This window comes from Homo sapiens, chromosome 14 (genome assembly GCF_000001405.40).
Source record: "Homo sapiens chromosome 14, GRCh38.p14 Primary Assembly".
In the NCBI taxonomy this organism is placed as follows: Eukaryota; Metazoa; Chordata; class Mammalia; order Primates; family Hominidae; genus Homo; species Homo sapiens.
This window is the reverse complement of record NC_000014.9, coordinates 23,707,475-23,729,993: the sequence shown is the minus strand read 5'-3', so window position 1 is coordinate 23,729,993 and position 22,519 is coordinate 23,707,475. Positions and strand designations below refer to the sequence as shown.

The 22,519-nt window shown below is 42.9% G+C and overlaps 1 long non-coding RNA gene across 6 annotated transcripts in view; it reads left to right on the top strand.

The window, feature by feature from the left end:
• Nucleotides 1-228: 228 nt before the first annotated feature.
• The window catches only part of LOC105370409 (uncharacterized), a 29,969-nt gene continuing 7,678 nt past the window's right edge, over nucleotides 229-22,519 (top strand). Inside the window, exons 1-5 of one of the 6 annotated variants that reach the window (XR_001750657.2) lie at nucleotides 237-416; nucleotides 570-717; nucleotides 3,875-3,980; nucleotides 14,558-14,736; nucleotides 17,219-17,424. This is a non-coding gene — a long non-coding RNA (uncharacterized LOC105370409). Of the gene's footprint in view, nucleotides 417-569; nucleotides 718-3,874; nucleotides 3,981-14,557; nucleotides 14,737-17,218; nucleotides 17,425-22,519 lie in introns of all 6 variants that reach the window. The other 5 variants (XR_007064081.1, XR_002957608.2, XR_007064082.1 and 2 more) reach the window with 5 other exon arrangements.

Below are 22,519 nucleotides of genomic sequence, written 5' to 3'. Positions count from 1 at the left end.
GGTGGAGACAAGGACTGGAGTGTCACAGCACACTTTGTGTGGGGTGAAGCTTGAGGTCTGAGCAATGCCCCTTGAAGGCCCCAGATTTCTTCAGCTTCTTTGCTCCCTGATAGGTTAAGTTTGCTACCACATGAGAGGGGACATCACCTTGCAATGGTGACAGCATTCAGAGTGGCACATGCCACTGCGGAGAGCCGGAACCACGGAGACCATTGTGACCTGGAGGCCAGAGTGTTGGGAAACACTGAGTGGCATCTCACAGAAAGCCAGAGGGGAGGACGTGGGGCTATCAGTCCAACTCCTCAGTTAATAGCCAGGGAAACAGAAGCCCAGGGAGATAAAGACGGTGGCAGAGGAGGAATTCTTTCTTAGCAGATCTTCCATTCCTAATCCAGGATCATTTCCAGGGCTCCCAGGTGAGAAAATGGGGAGGGAGAAAACTGAGTGAATCTCCTCTTAGAGTCATTGGCCTCCTAGGGGTGGGCTGTTGGCTGCACTCCTGGGCATTTTGGCACCACTTTTAATGATCCACATCCTTAACTCCTCAGGCAAAGGCTTCTCTTTTCTAGGTTCTCAAGATGCTTGAATCCTGGGACAAACACAGAGGAAGGAGCTCCTAAGGATGGGGGCAGTGGTGAGGAAACAGGCCACTGAGACAGTGATGGTGTTTGTAGGCAAAGAAGCTACTTGTATTTGCCAACCACACCAGGAGGCCAGGTTAGGAGTTTCAAAACAAGTTTGCTGCCAAGAAAAACACACAAAAACCCATAGATTCATGCTCTGTAAATCTCAAGAAGCAACTCTGTCCCATCCCCAGTCATGCCCTACACTGGGTCTGTCTTAGAATTCTATGTGCAAACTGGCCCCTGCTACTTATGACACCCCCGAGGGCCTGGCTTTCATTCATCCTCCTATCCAATCACTATCTGGTCCCCAGGGTAAAGTGCAGTATCTATACCCAGAGTCACAGCCTGCAGAGCCTCTGGGAGAAGCCGGCCACCAGGATGCTCTTCCCAGTGACGTAGCTGGCATCTGTAGAGTGCAGGAAGGACATGGTTCCTGCACAGTCCTCTTAACCCCTGCATGGAAAGAGAACAGAACTGAGGCCTCAGCCTATGCTCTAATGAACTCTGATCGCTGGTCCTGCTGCTCTGAACATAGGGCCCAGCACCACCTCCAGCCCTGAATCCCACCTCCCTGGCCCATCAGAGGCCTGGGCTCCATAGAGAGATATGGTGGGGCCCCTCATGCCCTCCAGATCCCACCTCATGGGCTGTGCATCCCCAGACTCTGTGAGAGGACGGGCTGATAGGTGAGGATACAGTCCGAGAGCCCTGTCTCCCCTGGAGAAGACTACCTGTCTCTGCTATCCACAGGGGTTTTTAAAGGAGTTTTGCAGAGCCAGATTATCTTCAACCTGAAAAAATTCAGAGGCTCAGTGCTAAATAGAACTGTGAAGGGCCAGAGAGGCTGCCATGGCAGACTCATGCCCTTGTGGGCAGATGGCCCTGCTCAGTGCTGGGTCTGCAGTCCCTCGACTGCTCCCAGAGAGGACAGCCCTGGTGCAGATACAGGAAGTGAGAGGCTGCTGGTCTCACAAAGCCATGGCCAGACTGGGGAAACCAACAAAGTGGTTGGTGGGGGCAACTGGGAGCTGCTGAACCCTCATCATGTGGTTAAAGTCAGTTCTTGATGATTCCTGGCAACAGGCGGGGCACCTGGATACCCTTTGGTGCCAGCTCTATAGCCAAGGGCTTGGTGAGTCCCAGCAGTGCAGTTTTGCTGGTGGTATAGGCCTCCAGCATCTAAGAAGGAAATGAAATGGATAAGGTGCACTGCGCTGGAGGAGAGGGGCTCTTGCTAGACCCCCAAGGCTATGGAGGATGACTATGCCTGCACTTACACCTGCACTCACACCAGCACTCACACCTGCACTCACATGTTTCTCCCACTCCACTCCAGGAAATTACCAGTGAACAAAATCTGAGCAGGAGCGGAATGAAGCCTGGGCTTAAAGAAAAGTCAGGAAGGCAGAGGCTGTGTTCACCCATGCTTAGCCCAGAGAGAATTGCTTAGGGTGCAGAGCCAGGGAAATGCACTAAAGAGACCCATGACCAGATTCCTGCTCTACCATGACTGGTCGCCCTTGGGCAAGTCACTTATCATCTCCATGTCTCAATCTCCTCCTCTGCCACAGGGAGTTTATCAGGCCTGCTCTGTGACAGTCATAGGAATGTCATGCAGGGACACTGATAGCCTATAGTGCCCCCTGGTGTAAATTTTTTAAAAAAACTTTCTTCTGAGCTTATGCAGCCCCACTAGTGCCTGACTTTGTGAGAGCAAATAGTAAAGCCACCCTGTTCTTCGGGTGAATGTAGCCCCAAGCCAGGGTACATGTCTTGTCAAGCAGAGCATGGACTGGATTTCAGCTCCTACTTGTTTCTAGACTAGGCGACCTTGTGCAGTGAACAACCTATACAACCACACATGGCAGCCCTGGGGCTTTAGGAACTAAATGAGATAATGGCAATAAGTGCAGTTTTAAATGTGGGCAGGACAGGCATCCAGTGTTGTGCACTTGGATTTTACTATCATGCGGGATCAATATTTACCTCCCTCATCCTGGCAACCACTCCACTGCCCTATCCCCAAACTCCCCACTAACTGTTTGAGGTGCACAGACAGCAGCAGAGGCAATCAGCACCACAGGCCTTCCCCTGTTAGAAGCGGACAGGCATGACAAGTGGAAGATGTACCTAATTAAGAAGCTATTTGCTTCCAGAAAATGAGCTTCCAAGTGACGAGGAGGCAGAACTGAGGAAGAGGAAAGAAGGGAAAGTAGGGACAGTGCCAGGGTCTCTGGGAAGAAGTGACTTCTTTGGGGAAGTTAGAGCTGAGAAGGTCCGACACAAGCTCCCCTGCTCAGATGCCCCAGGACTCCTAGGAACTAGCACCCAGGCAGGGCCAATCAGCATCTGGAATTCTGGAGAACAGGACCTGGGAACATGGAGCCATCAGTGTGAGGCTGCCACCTGGGGACGGCCACTCCCACAGGAGGAAAATGCACTGAGAGTGGCCTGGGTTGCAAATCTCACTTCGGAGCAGGAGCAGTAACTAGTTGCTGACTTGGACTCAAACAAGCCCAGACGAATGGCAAAAGGTGGAGAGTAGCTCCGCCATGAGAGACCCCAGCAGGGGAGGGACTGAAGGAGCTTCTTTTGGCCTCTCTGGAAAGGTTAAGGTCTCATGGCTATACCACATGGCCTTGTCCCATCCTTGCAGCTACCACTGGCCTGCGTTTCTCAGACGACAGAGCACGTCAGAGGTGATTGGGGCTCCCCTCTGGGTGTGGAGTCCGCCCGCCACATTCTTTCCAAATGTTCCCCTTCACTGTGTTGGTCACATCCTGTGGGGCCCAAGAAGCCTGGAGACGTGGTTTAGGAAGTGACATGAGAGCCTGGCATCCAGGGCACACTCCACCCTGCTCTCCTTGGGATATTCCACTTCCTGGGCCCCATCCCCCAGTGTTGCCTCGGGGTAGCAGAGAGCAAGGCAAAGTCTCCCCAGCTCCCATGGAGCCCTCACCCCATCTTCTCCATATGGGGCAAAGGTTGGCTCAGCAGCAGGGCCAGGGCCTTTGCGTTCCTGCTTGGGATTTGAAGTCAGAAAGAGGAGGGGAAGGGGGCCTGTCCGTTCAGCCGGCACCTCTGCTCACCTGGAGTCCCACGGACCAGACTGAGGGGAGGCACTGAGGGTCTGCGCTGCTGCTCTCTATGTGACCGCTGAGTCATGGAGGAAAAAGGGACCTGAGGCATGTGCCCTGCCCCCCGGGAACACTTGGCTAAAAACCACCTCACTGTGATTTGCTGCACAGACTCGCCGCAGGGCACAGCACCCTCCAGAAAAACAGGTCACTGAAAATAATATCAGGGGAGGAAGTCAAGAAGGCTGCTGTATTCATTCTGCTTTAATGAGTAGAGGTAAGAATTCTCAAGGCATAAACACCAGCCCTGTGTGGGGCCCTGTTTGGGGCAGGTGCTGAAATTTCAGTTTTTTATAAAAGCAAGAGGCTGGCCTGGGCAGAGATGGGCCAGGAAGGTCATGGACTGTGAGAACCACAGAGACAAAGTGGGGCAGGTGGAGAGAGGAGAGGCCTGGTCAGCGGGACAAAGCCTCCCTGAGGACAGGATGGCTCATCCAGATCACAGCACCCAGTCTCTGCCAACAGGGTCAGGTTGGGGGAGATGAGGACTGAGCCCTCGCAGGGGAGCACGTCAGGCATGGGGTCTACAGGGGCAGTGGGAGCCCCTGGAATACTCCTGGATTCTGGCTGGGAAGGGGCCTGGGCAGAGGTGTCTTCTCTCAGCTGTGGCTGTGGGCAGGTGAGGTGTCCCTGTGACAGCCCAGAGGGGGCCCATGGGACAGGTGCCAGTGAGTCTAAACTCACTGAGACAGCCTCAGAAACCTGAGCCAGGAGAGAATCGGGAGCAGAACTGGTGGCAGCTCCTCAGATCTGGGGCTTGGTATGGGACTGAATTGGAGTGACTCCCTCCTAATGAATAGAAAAAGGTGAAAATGACAGCATGCGATTTTGGGGACCAGGTCAGAAAAAGCACTGAGGCTTCCATCTTGGTTGCTCTCTCTTAAGCTCTCCTCTCTCTTTCTCTCGGCTCCCTTGCTTTGGAGGGAGCCAGCTACACAGAAATTCAGGCAGTCTATGAAGAGGCTCACCTTGTGCCAGTGACCACTTGAGTGAGCCATCTTAGAAGTGGCTCTTCCAGCCCCAGACAAACTTTCAGAAACTAAAGCCCTGCTTCACATCCTGACTAGAACCTTATGAGAAACTCTGAGCCCAACCCACCCAGTTAAACCACTCCTGAATCCCTGCCCCACAAAAACTGTGAGATAATAAATGGTCATTGTCTTAAGCTACTAGATTTTGGGATGTTTTGTTATAGAGCAATAGATAATATAATTACGCAAATGTAACTCCCCATATTTCTCCCAAACCTGCTCCATCTGCCGCCTTCCCCTCCTCTGTTGATGGCAGGCAACTCCATCTTTCCAATAGCCCTGGCTCAAGACTTGGAGTCATCCTTGATTCCTATCTTTGTCTCATACCTCACATCCAACCTGTCAGAACATCCTGTTGATTCCATCTTCACTATACATCAAAATGTAACATTGTCACCATTTCCACTGCTACCACCTAGTGGGGCCACCATGACCTCTCTCCTTGCCTACCTGAAGTCTAACCTCAACATGAGGTCTGAGTGATCCTTTAAACATGTAGGCCAGAGCAGGTGACTCCTTTCCTTAAAGCCCACAGTGGCTCCCGTTGCCCTCAAAGTAAAAGCCCAAGTCTTACAATGGCCTGTAAGGCTCTCAGTGATCTGTGAAGCCCCCTTACCTCTGACATCACTACTGCTCTCCTCCTGGCCACCCCTGCTTCCTTAATGTTTTTCAAACATGTTGAGCACACTCCAGCCTGAAGCCTTGTGCACAGCTGTTGCCTCTACCTGAAATGTTTTTCTTCCAAATGTCTACACACCTATCATCCTTCCCTCCTTCAAGTCTTTGCTAAAATGTCTCTTCTCAGTGAAGCCCGCTCTGATCACTCTGTTTACAGTTGCAGTCTATCCCCACTACTTCCAGCACTCTGAATCCCTCTTATTGTTTTTCTTTTCTACCCTACTTATCACCTTCCAACATCCTATGTAGTTGACTTATTTAAATGTTTATTGTTTACCGTTCATACCCCCTGCTAGAATGTGAGCTCCAAGATGGCACTGATCTCTGTCTTTGGTCTCTGGCGTATCTCAAGTGTCTACATCAGTGACTAGCACATAGAAGCATTCAGTAAATAAGTGTTGAATGAATAAACTGGCAAATCTACATGTTCCTACATGTAGGAACTACTTTATGCAATAGTGCACTTTTAATCTAAAGCTTCCTGTTTCGAAGTTATTCCAAGTGCTCTTGAGCACCTAACATAGTCCCTGAGAACCTCCACTGACCTTCAGGAAGCAGGAGTGCTAGAAAGTACAGAGCAGAAAGGAAACCATGAACCTTAGATTCACATGCTCAGATTCAAGGACGGCAACGGAGCTGCTGCTGATGCAGATGAAATAGATTGTCCCTCTGCAGTGTTAATTAAGTGTATCAGAAAATTACTTATAAGGTATTACAGAAGAGGAGGTAAGAAACATGGCTTCATACATCCCTGATCTTCTAATGAATGAACTATAACAGTGCCGGCCAAAATAAATATAATATGAGCCATATATTTCAACATGAAATCAATATAAAGACATTAATGATATATTTAACTTTTTTTTGAGACAGGATCTCACTCTGTTGCCCAGGCTGAAGTGCAGTTGTGCAATCAGTGTTCACTGCATCCTCGACCTCTGGGCTCAAGAGATCCTCCTGCCTCTGTATCCAGAGTATCTGGGACTACGGGTGCACACCACCACACCTGACAAATTTTTAAATGTTTTGTAGAGACAGTATCTCCCTATGTTGCCTGGGCTGTTCTAAACTCCTGGGCTCATGCGATCCTCCTGCCTCAGCCTCCCAAAGTGCTGAGAGTACAGGCATGAACCACCATGCCTGGCCAAACATTTCTTATACTGAAAAATTATATGTGCATTGTATACTTACAGCAGGCTTCAGTTCAGACTAGCCACATTTCACACGCTATAGTCACATGTTGCTAATGATTATCATATTGAACAGTTGCCCAGGCTGGTCTCGAACTCCTGGGCTCAAGTGATCCTCCTGCTTTGGCCTCCCAAAGTGCTGGGAGTACAGGTATGAACCACTGTGCCTGGCCAAATATTTTTTATACTGAAAAATTATATGTGCATTGTATACTTACAGCAGGCTTCAGTTCAGACTAGCCACATTTCACATGCTATAGTCACATGTTGCTAATGACTATCATATTGAATAGTACAGATAAAGAAGCACATATGAGATGTGTTCCCATCTTAGTCCAGAAAATGTGGTCGATTTTGCCATAACTCACCCTCCTGAGAGTGATGTCAGCCAAGAACATTCTACAGTATCCACAGGCATCCAAACAGTTATAATACTATATCCTAAATCTAGGCCTAATCCTAGTTGAAGATTTGTCCTAGCCTCCTGGTTTTCAGTGACACATGATACACAAGAACCTCAATAGCACAAAGAAGCTTTGTGCTCTGAGCACATACACTGTCTTACTAAAATTAGAGCAAATCTGAATGACTTATACTCTTTGCTAGGAATCTATAAGAAGCTCAACACTCCACCTAGGACTACAATTCAAAATAAAACATAGCTATATGCGCAAGTAACTTTATCATCTTTTTATAATAGCAGAAAAGTGAAAATAACCTAAATTCACAATAATAAGGAATTTTGGACATTTTTCCTTGATGGGACTATGCAGATAGTAAAATGAAAGTTTTTAAATGGTTCATAATAGTATGGGGGAAATGCTTATGTTAAAATGCTAAGTGGAAAATCAGGACACAACATTGTGTATGCAAATATTGAATAATCAAAATTACATCAAAATAAAATAATACATACAGAAAAAAGCAGAAATACACCATAATGAGATAAAGATTATAAATTAAGCCACACTCCTGCCTGTCCCTGCACAATATATCATTAGAAAAAGAAAAAAAAGAAAGTTAAAAGAAAAAGAAAAAAATCAATAGCAGCGCATGAAAACATGAACTGGTGTTCTCAATTAACCAAAATTTTTGAGGAATGGAGTCACACTGAAAGATAAACCATCGCCCAAAGTCATGGAAGAGCAGACTGTGTCCAAAGGTAAGAACAGTTATGGCGCCCTGAGTTGGATGGCAGCAGACACAGGAAGGTAGGAGGTGGTCGGGGTGACAGTTTGAGAGGTGCTGTGCTGAGAGGAGCTGGCCAAGATGGTCCCTTCCCCAGTACCTACCCTCTGCCAGGCAGCCATTGGCAAAGGTGTTACCCCCATTGTGAATAATGATGATAAGAATGGAAGGCCACTAACCCAATATACCAGAAGTCAGAAAAGAGATAGCCTTGTAATTAGAAACACAAAAGAACTTTGCAGGAACCAATTGTAACATATTAACAATCCCAATAAATGTGAACAAATTGCATTAATATATTAAAAAGAAGAATCTTTCAAACTTTATTTTGAAAAACAGTTATATACGATTTACAAAAGATTCACCTAAAATAAAAACAAGCAAGACATTTGTAAATAAAGGAGTCGAGAAAGATACATCAAGTAAAATGCTCATGAAAAGAAAGCAAGCATAGAAATATGAAAATCAGAAAAAGGTAGAATTCAAGGCAAAAGACATTAAAAAGGACAAAGAAGGATACAGTTTTTTATGTTGATAAAAGATACACTCCCTCACAATCCGTTATGAATCTGAGTAGATGGATTTAACACATCTCTCTCTGGAATCAACAGTTCAAGAATAAAACTATGGCTTAATGCAATCAAATAGAAATATAATGTGAACCACAAATGCAAGCCACATTAGTCACTTAAACTTTTCTAGTAGCCACATTTTTAAAAAAGTAAAAAAGAAACAGGTGAAATTACTTTTAATAATTTATTTTATTCAACTTAACACATCCAAAATACAATCATTTAATATATAATCAATATAAAAAGTAATTAATTTTTCATGCTAAGTCTTCGAAACTGGTGTGTGTTTTACACTCAAAGCCTATGTCAATTTGGACTACCCACACTTCAAGTGCTCATTACCACATGTGGTGATACGGTTTGGATGTGTGTCCCCACCCAAATCTCATGTTGAACCGTAATCCCCAATGTTGGAGGTGGGGCCTGGTGGGAGATGACTGGATCATGGGTGAAGTTCTAATGGTTTATTGTCATGCCCCCTTGGTACTGTATAGTGAGTGAGTTATCAGGAGATCTGGTGGTTTAAAAGTGTGTAGCACCTCGCCCGTCTGTCTCTCTTCCACCTGCTCTGGCCATGTAAGATGTGCCTGCTTCCCCTTCATCTTCCACTATAATTGTAAGTTTCCTGAGGCCTCCCCAGAAGGAAGCCAGCATCATGCTTCCTGTACAGCCTTGAAACCATGAGCCAATTAAATCTCTTTTCTTTGTCAATTACCTAGTCTCAGGTACTTCTTTATAGCAATGTGAGAACAGAACAGACTAATACATGTGGCTACCACACTGGACAGCAAAACTATAGATAACTATAGATAACACAACTGTATCAAGTGGCCTTATTAAAAATTCTTCAGTTAAAGAATAAATTAAAACATAAATTATAAATACTTAGAAATGAACAATAAGAACAGGCCACACTTTTAAAGTGTATTTAATATAGCCAAAGCAATACTCGGAAAAAATAGATAGATATTTAGTTTTAGATATATTCATTGGAAATCACTTTAAAAAGATGGAAAATTGTAAAAGCATTATTTTAAACCACGCAGCTTCCGAAAGAATAGCAGATAAACTCAAAATAGAAAGGTCATAAAAAAGATAAAGGCAGAAATTATTAAAATGGAAATGAAATTTACCAAAACTTCAAAAGCAATTTTCTTTGGGTGATAGGGCTTCAAGCGTTTGCTTTCCTTTGACTCTCTATTTTTCTTCTCTTACCAACTTTTCTAAGTCTGGCTTTTATATTATAAAGATCCTATCTTTAAAAATATGCTGTAACACCACAGAGGATTTTGAAAGTTTATCTTCAAATGTCAATACTTATTAAAGTTCCAATAGTGAAATCTGTTTTTAAGATTTGAACAAGTTGCACACAAGCAATTGGGCAAATTGTATAAAAACTGTAGTGTTCTTAGATTTGCTGAAAGATTACCATGGTCCAAATCTGCTGTTTCAACCCCACATTTCCTAGACATGGAAATCAGTGGGAGACGTCTGGAAGGAGTTGCCTAGGGCAGCGGTCCCCAACCTCTTTGGCACCGTGGACTGGTTTTGTGGAAGACAATTTTTCCACAGATGGAGCAGGGCAGGGGAAGAGAGGGTGATGGTTTCAGGATGAAACTGTTGCACCTCAGATCATCAGGCCTTAGATTCTTATAAGGAGTGCACAGCCTAGACCCCTAATATGTACCGTTCACAATATGGTTCATGCTCCTACGTGAATCTATTGCTGCAGATGATCTGACAGGAGGCAGAGCTCTGGCAGTAATACTTGCTCATCCGCGGCTCACGTCCTGCTGTGTGGCCCAGTTCCTAACAGGCCATGAACCGGTTACTGGTACCGGTCTGAGGAGAGGAAAGCCTCCAGGCCCCTAAGAGTGAAGCCAGCTCAGTAGTGCCTCAGGCAGTGGCTGTTGGCTTCTGCAGCCCAATAGAGATTTGGTTTTTTATCCTCAGGGAAAAAAAGTTTGTTTTAAAAGAAAGTATTTCTTCTAATAAGAACCTCATAGCCAAAGGGTAACAAGGCAGGGTCAGAACTTGGAGAAGCATGTGTACTTCACACACAGAGGCGTACAACTACTGCAGACTAGTCCATGAGCCCTTTCCTGGCCACAATCTGGTCACTCCTGGTGGTGAGCAGGGCAAGCGCTCGCCCAGCTCCATTCTGGCATCCTGTAGTGCAGGGAGTAAACTCAACAAAGGAAGCAGCCTGTCTTCATAGTCCCAGCCCTGAGGGGACATTTCCACCCAGTATTCCTAGGAGACAAGATGCCTCTCTGGAGAGGACAGAACCTTACCTTACCTGAGGACAGAACCCAATTGCCTTTGCCTCTGATTTATGGAAGTGTTGCTTTGTAATGGTGTCAGCTCCATCCATGGATTCCCAGGTGCTGTCTCCCTTGTGCACAAATACTTAAACATTAGGTTCAAGCTCCACCCCTTCTTCTCTCTTTTTCCTCTTTCTCTTCCTCCAGAATACTCCCCTTGAGTTCAGGCCCATGCGTGTGGACACATGCCACACCCCAGTATAGGTCAGCCCCTCAGAATCTGTCTATAGTGGCTCCATCCTGCAAAGAGCTCTTGCTTGCCTTAGGGTGAAAGTGGGAAAGGAAGAAGAAATGGGAGTCAGAGGATTGTATAATCCACTATCATGTATCATATGATATTGATATGATGTTTCTCACTATCATGTACCGTGTGTGATAGTGGGAATGCCCCAGAAGGGAAGGGAGGCAAAGTTAGGACAGGATAATGGGTCACCATGGGGAGATTTTAAATGTGAGCCCCATGTCAAGAGTAATCATTTGATGTCCAAGCCACCAACACAACCATGATTCTCCTTTTCACTTAATGCACTTTTGTAATGACCATAATTACCTGTTTCAGTTGATAACGTACTTATCTGTATTCTGACATGGCATGTTAAATTTCTTCAGGACAGTGACTATGCTTATTCTCAGTGGTATACCAACACACCCAGAATATTGTTATTCAATTCTAGCTAACAAAACAAATTGTGCATTAAGTGCAAGGGACTCTCTTATTCTCTGCCAAAGCACTAATGCCCCTTCATATGCAATAAACTTTTCCACTGTCTTCTCCTTGAATGTCTAGTTTTACAAGTTTGCAGTTGAGTCTATGTTCTGTGATGATTTTTTTCTCTTTCTAACTAAAAGTCTAATGAGATTTTACAGTAACTTCCAGAAGCAAACTTCCAGGCTACAAAATATTTTACAATGCAGTGTTTAAATCCATGTTTTCTTGGGGTTTTTGTTTGGGACTTTTAAAATCCTTAATCCTGAGCAATTCCTCCTGGCGTTGTATAGTCTTTAAAAATACTATTTCTAAAAGATGTATATGCCACCTAATAATGGTCCATAATTAATTTAACAGTTTCACTGTTGTTGAGTGTTTACGCTGTTTTCAGTTTTTCCTTATTATATGTAATGCCGTGCTCATCCTTACTGATAAAGCTTCAGGTAAGTAGAATTAATGAATGATAGATATAAATATTTTAAAGTCTCAGTGCAGCTGTAAAACTGGTTTTCAGTGCAGCTGTCAGACTGGTTTTCAGAAAGTCTGTACCCCTTTATTCTCCTAATAGCAATGTATAAGGCTCATTTCATTCACTATTGGTCACCCTGTCACACTGTGTATTTGAATTTCGCTTATGTGGGGATTGGTGTGGATAGAAATTCAAAGAGGTAAGCAAGCCCATTCCAGCCATGTTGGGTTATGTGGCCTGACAAAAGCCATCAGGCTGCCTTTTTATTTGAAACATAAAAGTTCATGACTGTTGTATCTTCTACAGGAATTGTAAACTTTTATCAGTTGAAAATATCCTCACACACTGGGGCCTGTCATGGGGTTGGGGAAGGGGGGAGGGATAGCATTAGGAGATCTACCTGATGTAAATGACGAGGTAGTGGGTGCAGCACACCAACATGGCATATGTATGCATATGTAACAAACCTGCACGTTGTGCACATGTACCCTAGAACTTAAAGTATAATAAAAATAAAAGAAGAAAAAAAGAAAATATCCCTCTTTCATGGCATTGCTCCATTGTCTTCTAACATTACTATTGCTGACAAGGGGTTTGATGTCAATCTAAGTCTTAGTCTTTTGTATACTTCCTACTATTTTCTCTGTCCAATAAATGGATTAATGGTTAGGTAAATTATGGCATATCCATTCAATGGATTATTATTATGATGCAGCTTTTTAAAAAACCACATCTATTATTTACTTGAATGAATGTTCCTTATATTTTATCACATGAGAAAAACAAGTTACAGAGATATATACCAGTTTTAGAAAAACAAACAAAATTCTCTACATTTCTAATCACATTTTACACATATTTTTACACATAGAGAAAGATGTCAAAAGGTAAAAATCAGGCTGTTAGTTTTAGATTCCTTTTAATTTAGGAGAAGGAATTTAGATTGCTTTTAATTTAGGTGAAGATCATGAGGTATACTAATAATGTTATTGCATATTTCCTTTAATTTGAGTTTTTGTTACTAGTGGGGTGAGATATCTTTTCATGTTTATGGATCGTTTGATTATATTCTTGTGTAAATTTTCTCTTCACATTTTTATCCATTATTTTATTGAGCTATTTGAGGGTTTTTTGGGAATCAATTTATAGGAAACCTTTGCATATTATAAATTACATGTTTGCACATATTTGTTCTAAGTCTACTATCTGTCTATGACTTTGTTTACGGTATCTTTTGCCATATAAAAAAATGTTAAATTGGCTGGGCCCGGTGGCTTACGCCTGAATCCCAGCACTTTGGGAGGCCGAGGCAGGTGGATCATGAGGTCAGGAGTTCAAGACCAGCCTGGCCAAGATGGTAAAACCCCATATCTACTAAAAATACAAAAAAAAAAAATTATCTGGGTGTAGTGGCAGGTGCCTGTAATCCCAGATACTCGGGAGGCTGAGGCAGAGAATTGCTTGAACCCAGGAGGCAGAGGTTCCAGTGAGCCAAGACTGTACCACTGCACTCTAGCCTGGGCAACAAAGCAAGATTCCATCTCAAAAAAAAAAAAAAAAAGTTAAATTGCTATATACCCAGATATATTTATCTTTTTCATTGATGAGCTCTGGGTTTCATGCCATGTTTCAAAATATTTCATCCACTTCAAGATTATACCTAAATAATATTCTAAATTTCCATTTTTTCTATATTTAGATCTATAAATCTGATGGGTTTTATCATATATATATCATATATGATATATATATAACCACACAGGTCAGAGAACAAATGTGGAGATTCCTCAAGCTGCTAATTATGCCTATTATAATTAGACATTTAGGAATTGGGGAAATAACAACAGGGTGAGTCTATGGAATGACTAGGCCCACTTGAGCTCAGACTCCGCTGGTCCCCTGACCATTGTAAGCCCCTACTTTAATAGTAGACCAAAGAGGTGCTTTGGGTCCCCAAGAGTCAATGCCAATTCAGAGTCAGTGTCTACCAACCCCAGCAAGGTCTGGGTATTTTCTTCCTCTAATGAACAGTTACCTAGTAAATTATCACAGTACATTTGGTGAAGGCTTGGAGGAAGATTTATGGTATGTATTTGTGGAAATGATATAGGGTTATTCTTCAAAAGGACTCAGCCTCCCCTTTAATCAAGAGGTTCTGTATCCATGACTTAACTTAGATTTGGAAACTGAGTAAGAGATCATGACTCTCCACTGTGGTGACTCAAGTCAGGTTTCTGACTACTGTATCTAGAGTATTTCCTATTATATAGGTCAAACAATAATTTAGTAGGATGACCATCTATCTTTTTTCTACAAACACAGTGATCAATTGCCTCCGCCAAATATCTCTGTGAGCCGAGGCATTCTAACAATCAGCATGTCCTTGTTGCTCTTTACAACAGAAGTACTACTTTGTTTTTGAAGGTTAAGTGATACCACCAGTCCTCTGCTATTCTAAAAACCCATTATTCCCACTGAAATCAGGGAGGCCATCTCAATAGTGAGTAACACTTTCTACAGTCATATCTGGCCAACAAATAAAACCACTACAGAGATTTGCAAGGATTCCGGTCTCTGCACTAATGTATATCTCAAACCCTTAATAAAGGGAGTCTCTTTGAATTTTTCCACAGAACTCTTACCAAAACAGGAATAGAAGACATAGGGTGCAACCATTTCTCCAGGCTGAAACAGAGCCCCTGAGGAAGGAGCAAATCTGAAGTTCCCCTGCACCCAGGGCTTTGATTCAGATATTGTTGGAGAGAGCATTGCATGGCTCATGACTCACTAGGTGGTGGATAAGCTCATTGAGGTATGGTGCTAGGAAGAGTGACTAGAAAGCCACCTTCTGGGGTATCAGGAGAAGCATCTCAGGAAGGTCCTGTGCCTAGGAACTCACTACAAAGCCATCAAGGAAATACTGGGGGGAGCCATGCACACAGAGGTGCCACACCGTTGGAACTCACTGGGAAACTGCTTTTGGAGCCCCAGGAGGAGCTGTGCATGGCGTGCTGTGCTGCACGGAGGCAATGTTTTAGTTCCACAAGCAGGGGCACAAAGGGTGTGTTTGCAGCCGAAAGACAATAGATTTAATAACTGACACAATCTCTAAGCAACTAATGACCTCCATCTAATTCTATTTACTTCACTGCTATGTGGGTGTTTTTTATACTCATGTAATATTATTTCAATGACATCTCAAAAATGAGTGGAGACAAAATGTGGGCTGAGTCTGCCATCTTGAACAGGAATTTTTTTTTATTATTATTATACTTTAAGTTCTAGGGTACATGTGCACAATGTGCAGGTTTGTTACATATGTATACATGTGCCATGTTGGTGTGCTGCACCCATTAACTCGTCATTTAACATTAGGTATATCTCCCAATGCTATCTCTCTCCCCTCCCCCCATCCCCCAGCAGGCCCCAGTACGTGATGTTCCCCTTCCTGTGTCCTTGTGTTCTCATTGTTCAATTCCCACCTATGAGTGAGAACATGCGGTGTTTGGTTTTTTGTCCTTGCGATGGTTTGCTGAGAATGATGGTTTCCAGCTTCATCCATGTCCCTATGAAGGACATGAACTCATCATTTTTTATGGCTGCATAGTATTCCATGGTGTATATGTGCCACATTTTCTTAATCCAGTCTATCATTGTTGGACATTTGGGTTGGTTCCAAGTCTTTGCTATTGTGAATAGTGCCGCAATAAACATACATGTGCATGTGTCTTTATAGCAGCATGATTTATAATCCTCTGGGTATATACCCAGTAATGGGATGGCTGGGTCAAATGGTATTTCTAGTTCTAGATCCCTGAGGAATCGCCACACTGACTTCCACAATGGATGAACTAGTTTACAGTCCCACCAACAGTGTAAAAGTGTCCCTATTTCTCCACATCCTCTCCAGCACCTGTTGTTTCCTGACTTTTTAATGGTCGCCATTCTAACTGGTGTGAGATGGTATCTCATTGTGGTTTTGATTTGCATTTCTCTGATGGCCAGTGATGATGAACATTTTTTCATGTGTCTTTTGGCTGCATAAACGTGGAAGTTTCATTTTTTAAAAATGTCTTTAAAGCTGAGTGGAGAACATATGAAACCCTGGCAATATGTGTGCTGCCAAAGAGAGCACATCGAACACTGGCAATAGATGGCTTATTTAAGTCAACAAAAATTGGCTAAATTGTTAAGTTGTTGAACTTAAAACTCTGGTAGCCTTAGCTTCAATAATGCTGCTGTAGGGCTGGGTTGGTCACTACTGTAATCCAAGCCAGCAGTGGGAGGCTGAAGCAGAAGGATCAATTGAGGCCAGGAGTTTGAAACTGTCCTAGACAACATAGAAAAACCTCTGTCTCTACCAAAAAAAAAAAAAATTAGTTAGCTGTGCATAGAGGCTCACACCTGTAGTCCCAGCTACTCGGGAGGCTGAGGTGGGAGGATTGCTTTTGTCCTGGAGCTCAAGGTTACAGTAAACTATGATGGTGCTACTGCACTCCAGCCTGGGCAACAGAGCAAGACCATGTCTCAAAAAAAAAAAAAAAAAAAAAAAAAAAGCTGCTATATAGAATGCCCTATTTCTAAAATTAAAAAAAAATGCTTTCCTGATGATGTGGTTGAATCAACTAAACGATCTGACGGTGTGAAAGTGCCTAGCATGATAACTGACAATGGAGGGTACTCGATAAATGTTGAGTGAATGAATAGCAATTACTAAGGAACATCTTCCCCTCCCTTCCACCTTCCAGACAGATGGGACTGGAATGCTGGCAGGCAGTGGACAGATACCAAAAACTGTTTTTCTTCTTCCGAGTTTCTTAAGACTATTGAGCACTTAATATGCACTAGGTGATTTGCCAGGCTCTGGGAATACACAGAAAAATAACTCAAGGTCTCTTCCCCTAAGAAACTTCCATCTAATGAACAAGACTGATAAGTAAAAACATATTTCAACATGATGTGTATGTGCTATAATAGAGGTAAATGTAAAGTGTGAATATAAGACATAGGAAAGGCTGCCAACCCAAACTGGAGTGGGCTGGAGAATTAATCCTGGGCTGCATCTAGAAAGATAAATAAGAGTTAGCAAGATAAATAAACATGTATTTTCAAAGCACAGGGGCATAGATGCAAATATATCTGGTAGGAGAAAGCATGGCACATTTGAGGACTCCAAATATTTGGTAAGGCAAAAGTATAAAAAGATATTTGAAGTGGTAAGAGATTAAGGCGGAAAGGTAGGGCAAGCAATGGAATTTGTAGGACAAATGTGATATGCTCTCATTTGCATTTAGGAGAAATCTTTTGCCACATTTGGAGAAAGGATTGAAGAGAAATGAGAGCCTGGATGTGAAGAAAACATTAGGAAGCTGCAGCAGTAACCTATGTGAGAAATTAAGAGAACCTAAATCAGATCCGTTGGCCATCAAGATTTCACTCATTTTGAGACCTAGAGATTGGTGCTCCTGGAGCTGTGAAATGCGTGGCCTCTGTAGCCCTGGTGAGTGAGATATGGATATGTAGCTATGGATCTGAGAAATATCTGTGAAACATAATCCACAGATATGATGACAGGGTGAAAAAGAGGAGTCAGCAATCATACTCAGATTTTTTACAAAAGCAAATGCTTACATGTGGTACCAGTCACTGTGATTGGGAACATTAGAAGAAGAGTATAATTGGGTGGATAAACAATAAAGTTAGATTTGAGAGATGATGATTTTGAGATGGCTGAAGGACATCTGAGCAGATACATCCAGAAGGCAGTAGACTTTAAATCAGGAGACTCCAGTCTAAAGATAAAAGTGTTGAAGTACTCAGTGTATAGATAGCAATAGAAGCTCCAGAAATGAACAAAGTTGCCCAGGGAGAAGTTGTATACTGAAACAATGAGAAAGTCTAGAACATAACACTTGGAAGCAAATCATTCTAGAGATAAGCACTGGCCTGGAAGATAAAAAAAATTTTTTTAGTAGGAACAACAACAACCAAAAAGAACAGCATCTCTCAAAAATCAATGGAGGAAAATTTCAAGAAAAAGAGTTATAAACAGCATCAAACTCAGTAGAAAGATCTAGGAAGGTAAATACAGAAAAAGATTCATCAGCTTTAGAAACCAGAAAGTCAATGGTACAAGAGCAGTTGCAGAGGAGTGGTGAGGACAAGAGCCAGGCTGCTTTGCAGTATATGGAAGATTGAGTGGTAGCTACTGCCTAAATCAGGACCCTTTCTGTTGCAAGTATTAGAAACCCAACTTGAACTCATTTAACAAAAAAGAAATTTATTGTATAGTATAAATGGAAAGTATACAGGTAGAGCTGGCTTCTGTCACAGCTATTGATAGACCCAGGGACACTCAGAAATAGTTTTCAGAAAATGGTTTGGATCTCTATCTCTCCAACTATCCCCTTTTTTATCCTCCGCTTCATCTTTTAATTCTGAATTTAATTTTAAACCTCTGCCTTATTCCCTCCTTATTCAGATGGACTTCTTCCAAGACCACCATAGTTAGTTACCAAATTTCAAATACTCTCAGAATCATAAATCGGAATGAGAAAAATCTTAGCTTTATCACAAGAGTTCAGCGACAATTCTAACTGGCCCATCTTAAGTCATGCACCGATCCCCAAACCAACCCTGTGGCCAGGTGAATGGAGAATGCTGATTGCATAGTCTCTAGCAGGTGTGCAACCAAGACATAGGGCAGACACTTTTGCTGATACCCAGGTGCACACGGAGTAGGGAAAGGATGTTTCCCCCAAAGAAGAGATTCTGGATAGAGGAACAATATATATCCACTATATTCTACCCTTTGGATGTTTAGCATTCTTTCTTCTCATACATATAGTATCACAAATGTCCCCACCTAGTGCAATGCAACTATCCCATTTATAAATGAAAATATCCTAATTCTGAAAGAGAAATGACCAAATGTAATGTTATTATTGCATCCAGCTCCAACTCTAGATCCTTGAAATATGGGCATTCCTCTTCATTTCAAATCTTTCTCCTCATGGCTATGCACCTATGATTAACTGATACATTTTACCACCCCAGCAGATATAAAATGGTGAAAGGAAATATAAAATTTTTAAATTAAAACATACTATCATCTGGAAAAGGAAACAAACAGCAGCCATCCACCGAAAGTACTTATTTCTGGGCAGGGATAGCATGGAGTTCTTGTCTCGGCAAAGGAATGAATTTACTAGTCAGCCAATATGCCTGCCTGCAGTCCCACTGGGAGACCTCTTTTATCCATGGCCATGCTAAGAAGGGTATAGAAAACATCATAAAATAGAAATCTGTTCTGGAGACTGAACCTCTCTAGCAGCCCACTTCCTGCTGACATAGTTTATGAGAGGTGGGGGCCTATGACTGCCCTCGAGGCTGAGGAAACATAAGTTACCATTTTGTTTAGGCTTGGAATTTCACTGATAACCAACTCCAATAAAACTCTAATAGGCATTAGAACCTTTGGGTTCACAGACCTGTACTCTGTCTTGTCTCTATAGCCTCAGAACTTTGCCTGTAGCCCTAGGCCTAAATTTAATCATTTCCTTCTTGGAAAGTAATAAGGTGAAGGCAATAAACCTCTGGTGAAACACTAGGTGAGGCAGAATGATGTGCACCTGTGACCAGCCTGCAGCCCATTGGCTAACCCTAACAAATAGGAAGAAAGATTCCTTGAATCAGATAGTTTGAGAAAGGAGGTATGTGGGAAGAGCCCAGGGACTCCAGCTTCCTTCATTTCTCTGGCCTCTCAGGTATCCCAATTTTATCTCCCTGCTGTGTTTCACACCTCCTTGCCTTTTATGCTAATTTTAAAACAGGGCGGAAATTTTGGTTTTGGCAATTCTATAAGAAGCATAGTTAACCGAGCCTCAGCAATCTCACCCATAGGCAGAGGGATAATTATTAACAAAGTTGTATGTTGTTCCCTTTCTACTTTCAGCCAGGTCAGCTCAGTTCAAATCTTATCCTTTTGGCTTGTTTTTTGGTAAGACCTTACTAAAGGTCACAAGAAACTGCCAATATTTTCTAACACCCTGATATTTTTCTAACAAGTTTCCTAAAGCTCCAGCTTTAATAGACATTGGTCTGAGATAGCTAAGCTGCAGTAAGGACAAGTTCAGTCATCTTTGTGACTACCACATAACAAGGAAAGAGGGCTTCTCACTCAGCTAATTTCACATTTTAGAGTCAATACCCTTGTAAATCTTGATTTGACTCAAAGGTCCTTCTTTTTGTCTTATTTTTAGAAACACGCAATAACTTGCGGTGCAATGAAATGTAGAATTTAATTGGGCTTTAAAATTTAAAACCTTTTTCAAGGCTACTAGACAGTGATGAACTTTGTAGATAGATTGACTTGAAATGGAGGTCCCACATAGAATGTTAGATAGTGATAAGTGCTAGGAAGAAAAATAAAGCCAGGAAAAAAAGTATGGTAGAGAGGTGCAGTTTTATAAAGGGGTCAATACAAAGGTGACATTTGAATAAAGATCTGAATGAGGTAAGGTTGCAAACCATGCACTTATCTAAGGGAGAAGTGTCCCAAGAAGAGAGAACAGCTAATGCAATTGTCCTAATGCTGGAGCAAGCCTGGCCTATCGAAGAAACAGAAAGAGAACAATATGGTTAAAGTACAGTGAGTATAATTGCCCAAAAGGTTCTTCCTGCCTGCAGCACAGACAAAACCAATTCACTGAGACTGTGGTATTGCAATAGAAAAAGAACTTAATTATCACAAGCCAGCCTAGTGGAAGGACAGGGGTTATTACTCAAATCAGCCTACCTAATGACTCAGAGGCTAGCATTTTTCAAAGATAGTTTGGTAGGCAGGGGGCTAGGGAATAGGTACTGCCGATTCATTGGGGATGAAAACATAGGGGTGTAGAAAATGGTCCTGTGTGCTGAGTCAGCCTGTGGGTAGGTGCCATAGGACTGATTGAGTCATGAGTCAAGGGTCCAGGTGGACTCAGTCAGTCTCAGGATGTAAAAATCAGAAAAACATCTCAAAAGAACTTACCATTACTATTGTAGAAACTACAATAGTGATATTATCTATGGGAGCAACTGGGAAAGTTGCAAAGTTTGTGACCTCCAGAACAATGGCTGGTTATCATCTAACTATGCCTACATACTAGCAGAATTAGGGCCCCTGCCATAATCCTAATCTCATCGGCTTTTATTAGTTTTACAAAGGCAGTTTTGGTCACTGAGCAAGGTGTTTGCAAGGGTTAGTTTTAGGAAAGACTATTATCATCATTGCTTCAAAGTTAAACTATAACCTACACTCCTCCCATGGTTAGTGTGGAGTCCTAATTAGGGAAAAGGAGTCAGGCTAGTGGGAATAAGGGAAAGCAGATAAGCTATAAGTCGGCCTTTCTTTATGGCCTAAGACACGTAGCCCTCCTGCACAAATAACTCACAATCTTCCTGTGCCAAACTATCACCAAACACCTGCAAGTTAGCTCACTGCAACCTTGGTGTTATCAATACTGCACAAAGCCCTCTTCAACAGACAACATAAACATTATGCTATAAAATCTCCATCAAACCCTTGTTTCCTGGAAGTCAGCTTCTCTTCTGCTGACCTGCCCATTGCCTCCTCACAATGTGTTTTCCCACTTTCTCTGATAAATCTGTCTTTCTTTACCTACAACTGTCTCAGTAAATTATTTTACTCCTGCACCACCAGCCCAAATAGTCATCGCTCACCCGAGACATTTTGGTGGCCCATACGTGAACTCTCTCTCTTCATAGGGAACTCTCTCCCATCTCCCTTTTTCCAACTTGGAACCTTCAGTGGACAGCATCTAAGCATGGAGACGATTGCAGGTCTCTGGCCAGAGCTACACTGAGGGTGGGACTAAAAGGTGTCCATGAGAAAGTGTCTAACCACCATCATTCATTCAGATGAGGGACCTAACTCTGCTTATTCTTTTCAGTCTTTCAGTAGCTGGCTTCTAGTATCTCTCTGGAAATTGATGGTATAATATTTGACGAAGCCACTCTCTGGTGTTGCCTGAAAGCTAAAAGGTGAACAGAGCTGGCTGCCTTGCCCAGAAGGGAGGAAGGCTCTCTCTCCTATCTTTCCTGGTTGAAAAGTCCCTAGTCCCTACATGTGATGCAACAAACAGTGGAAGCTCGTTCAGAGTGAGTTCATACACGTTTTAGGTGATTTAGACCCTCTTTTTCTCACTCTGAATTCTCCTATGGACTCAGCCAGTTGTCCTGTCCTGGACATTGCTAAATCAGGCGATCTCAGACAGCCTCAGAACAGTGAGTCTTTCCCCACCCACCCCCTCTCCTGGACCCACACTAAGCAGAGATCTTTCTTTATCCCTTTTGAGAGTTGAAGCCAGCTGGACTTCCTGGGTCAAGCGGGGATTGGAGAACTTTTCTGTCTTACAAGAGGGTTGTAAAATGCACCAATCAGCACTTTGTAGGTAGGATTGTAAAACGCACCAATCAGTGATCTGTAGCTATCAAGAGGATTGTAAAATGCACCAGTCGGTGCTCTGTAAAATGCACCAATCAGCGCTCTGTAAAATAGACCAATCAGCAGGATTCTAAAAGTAATCAATCAT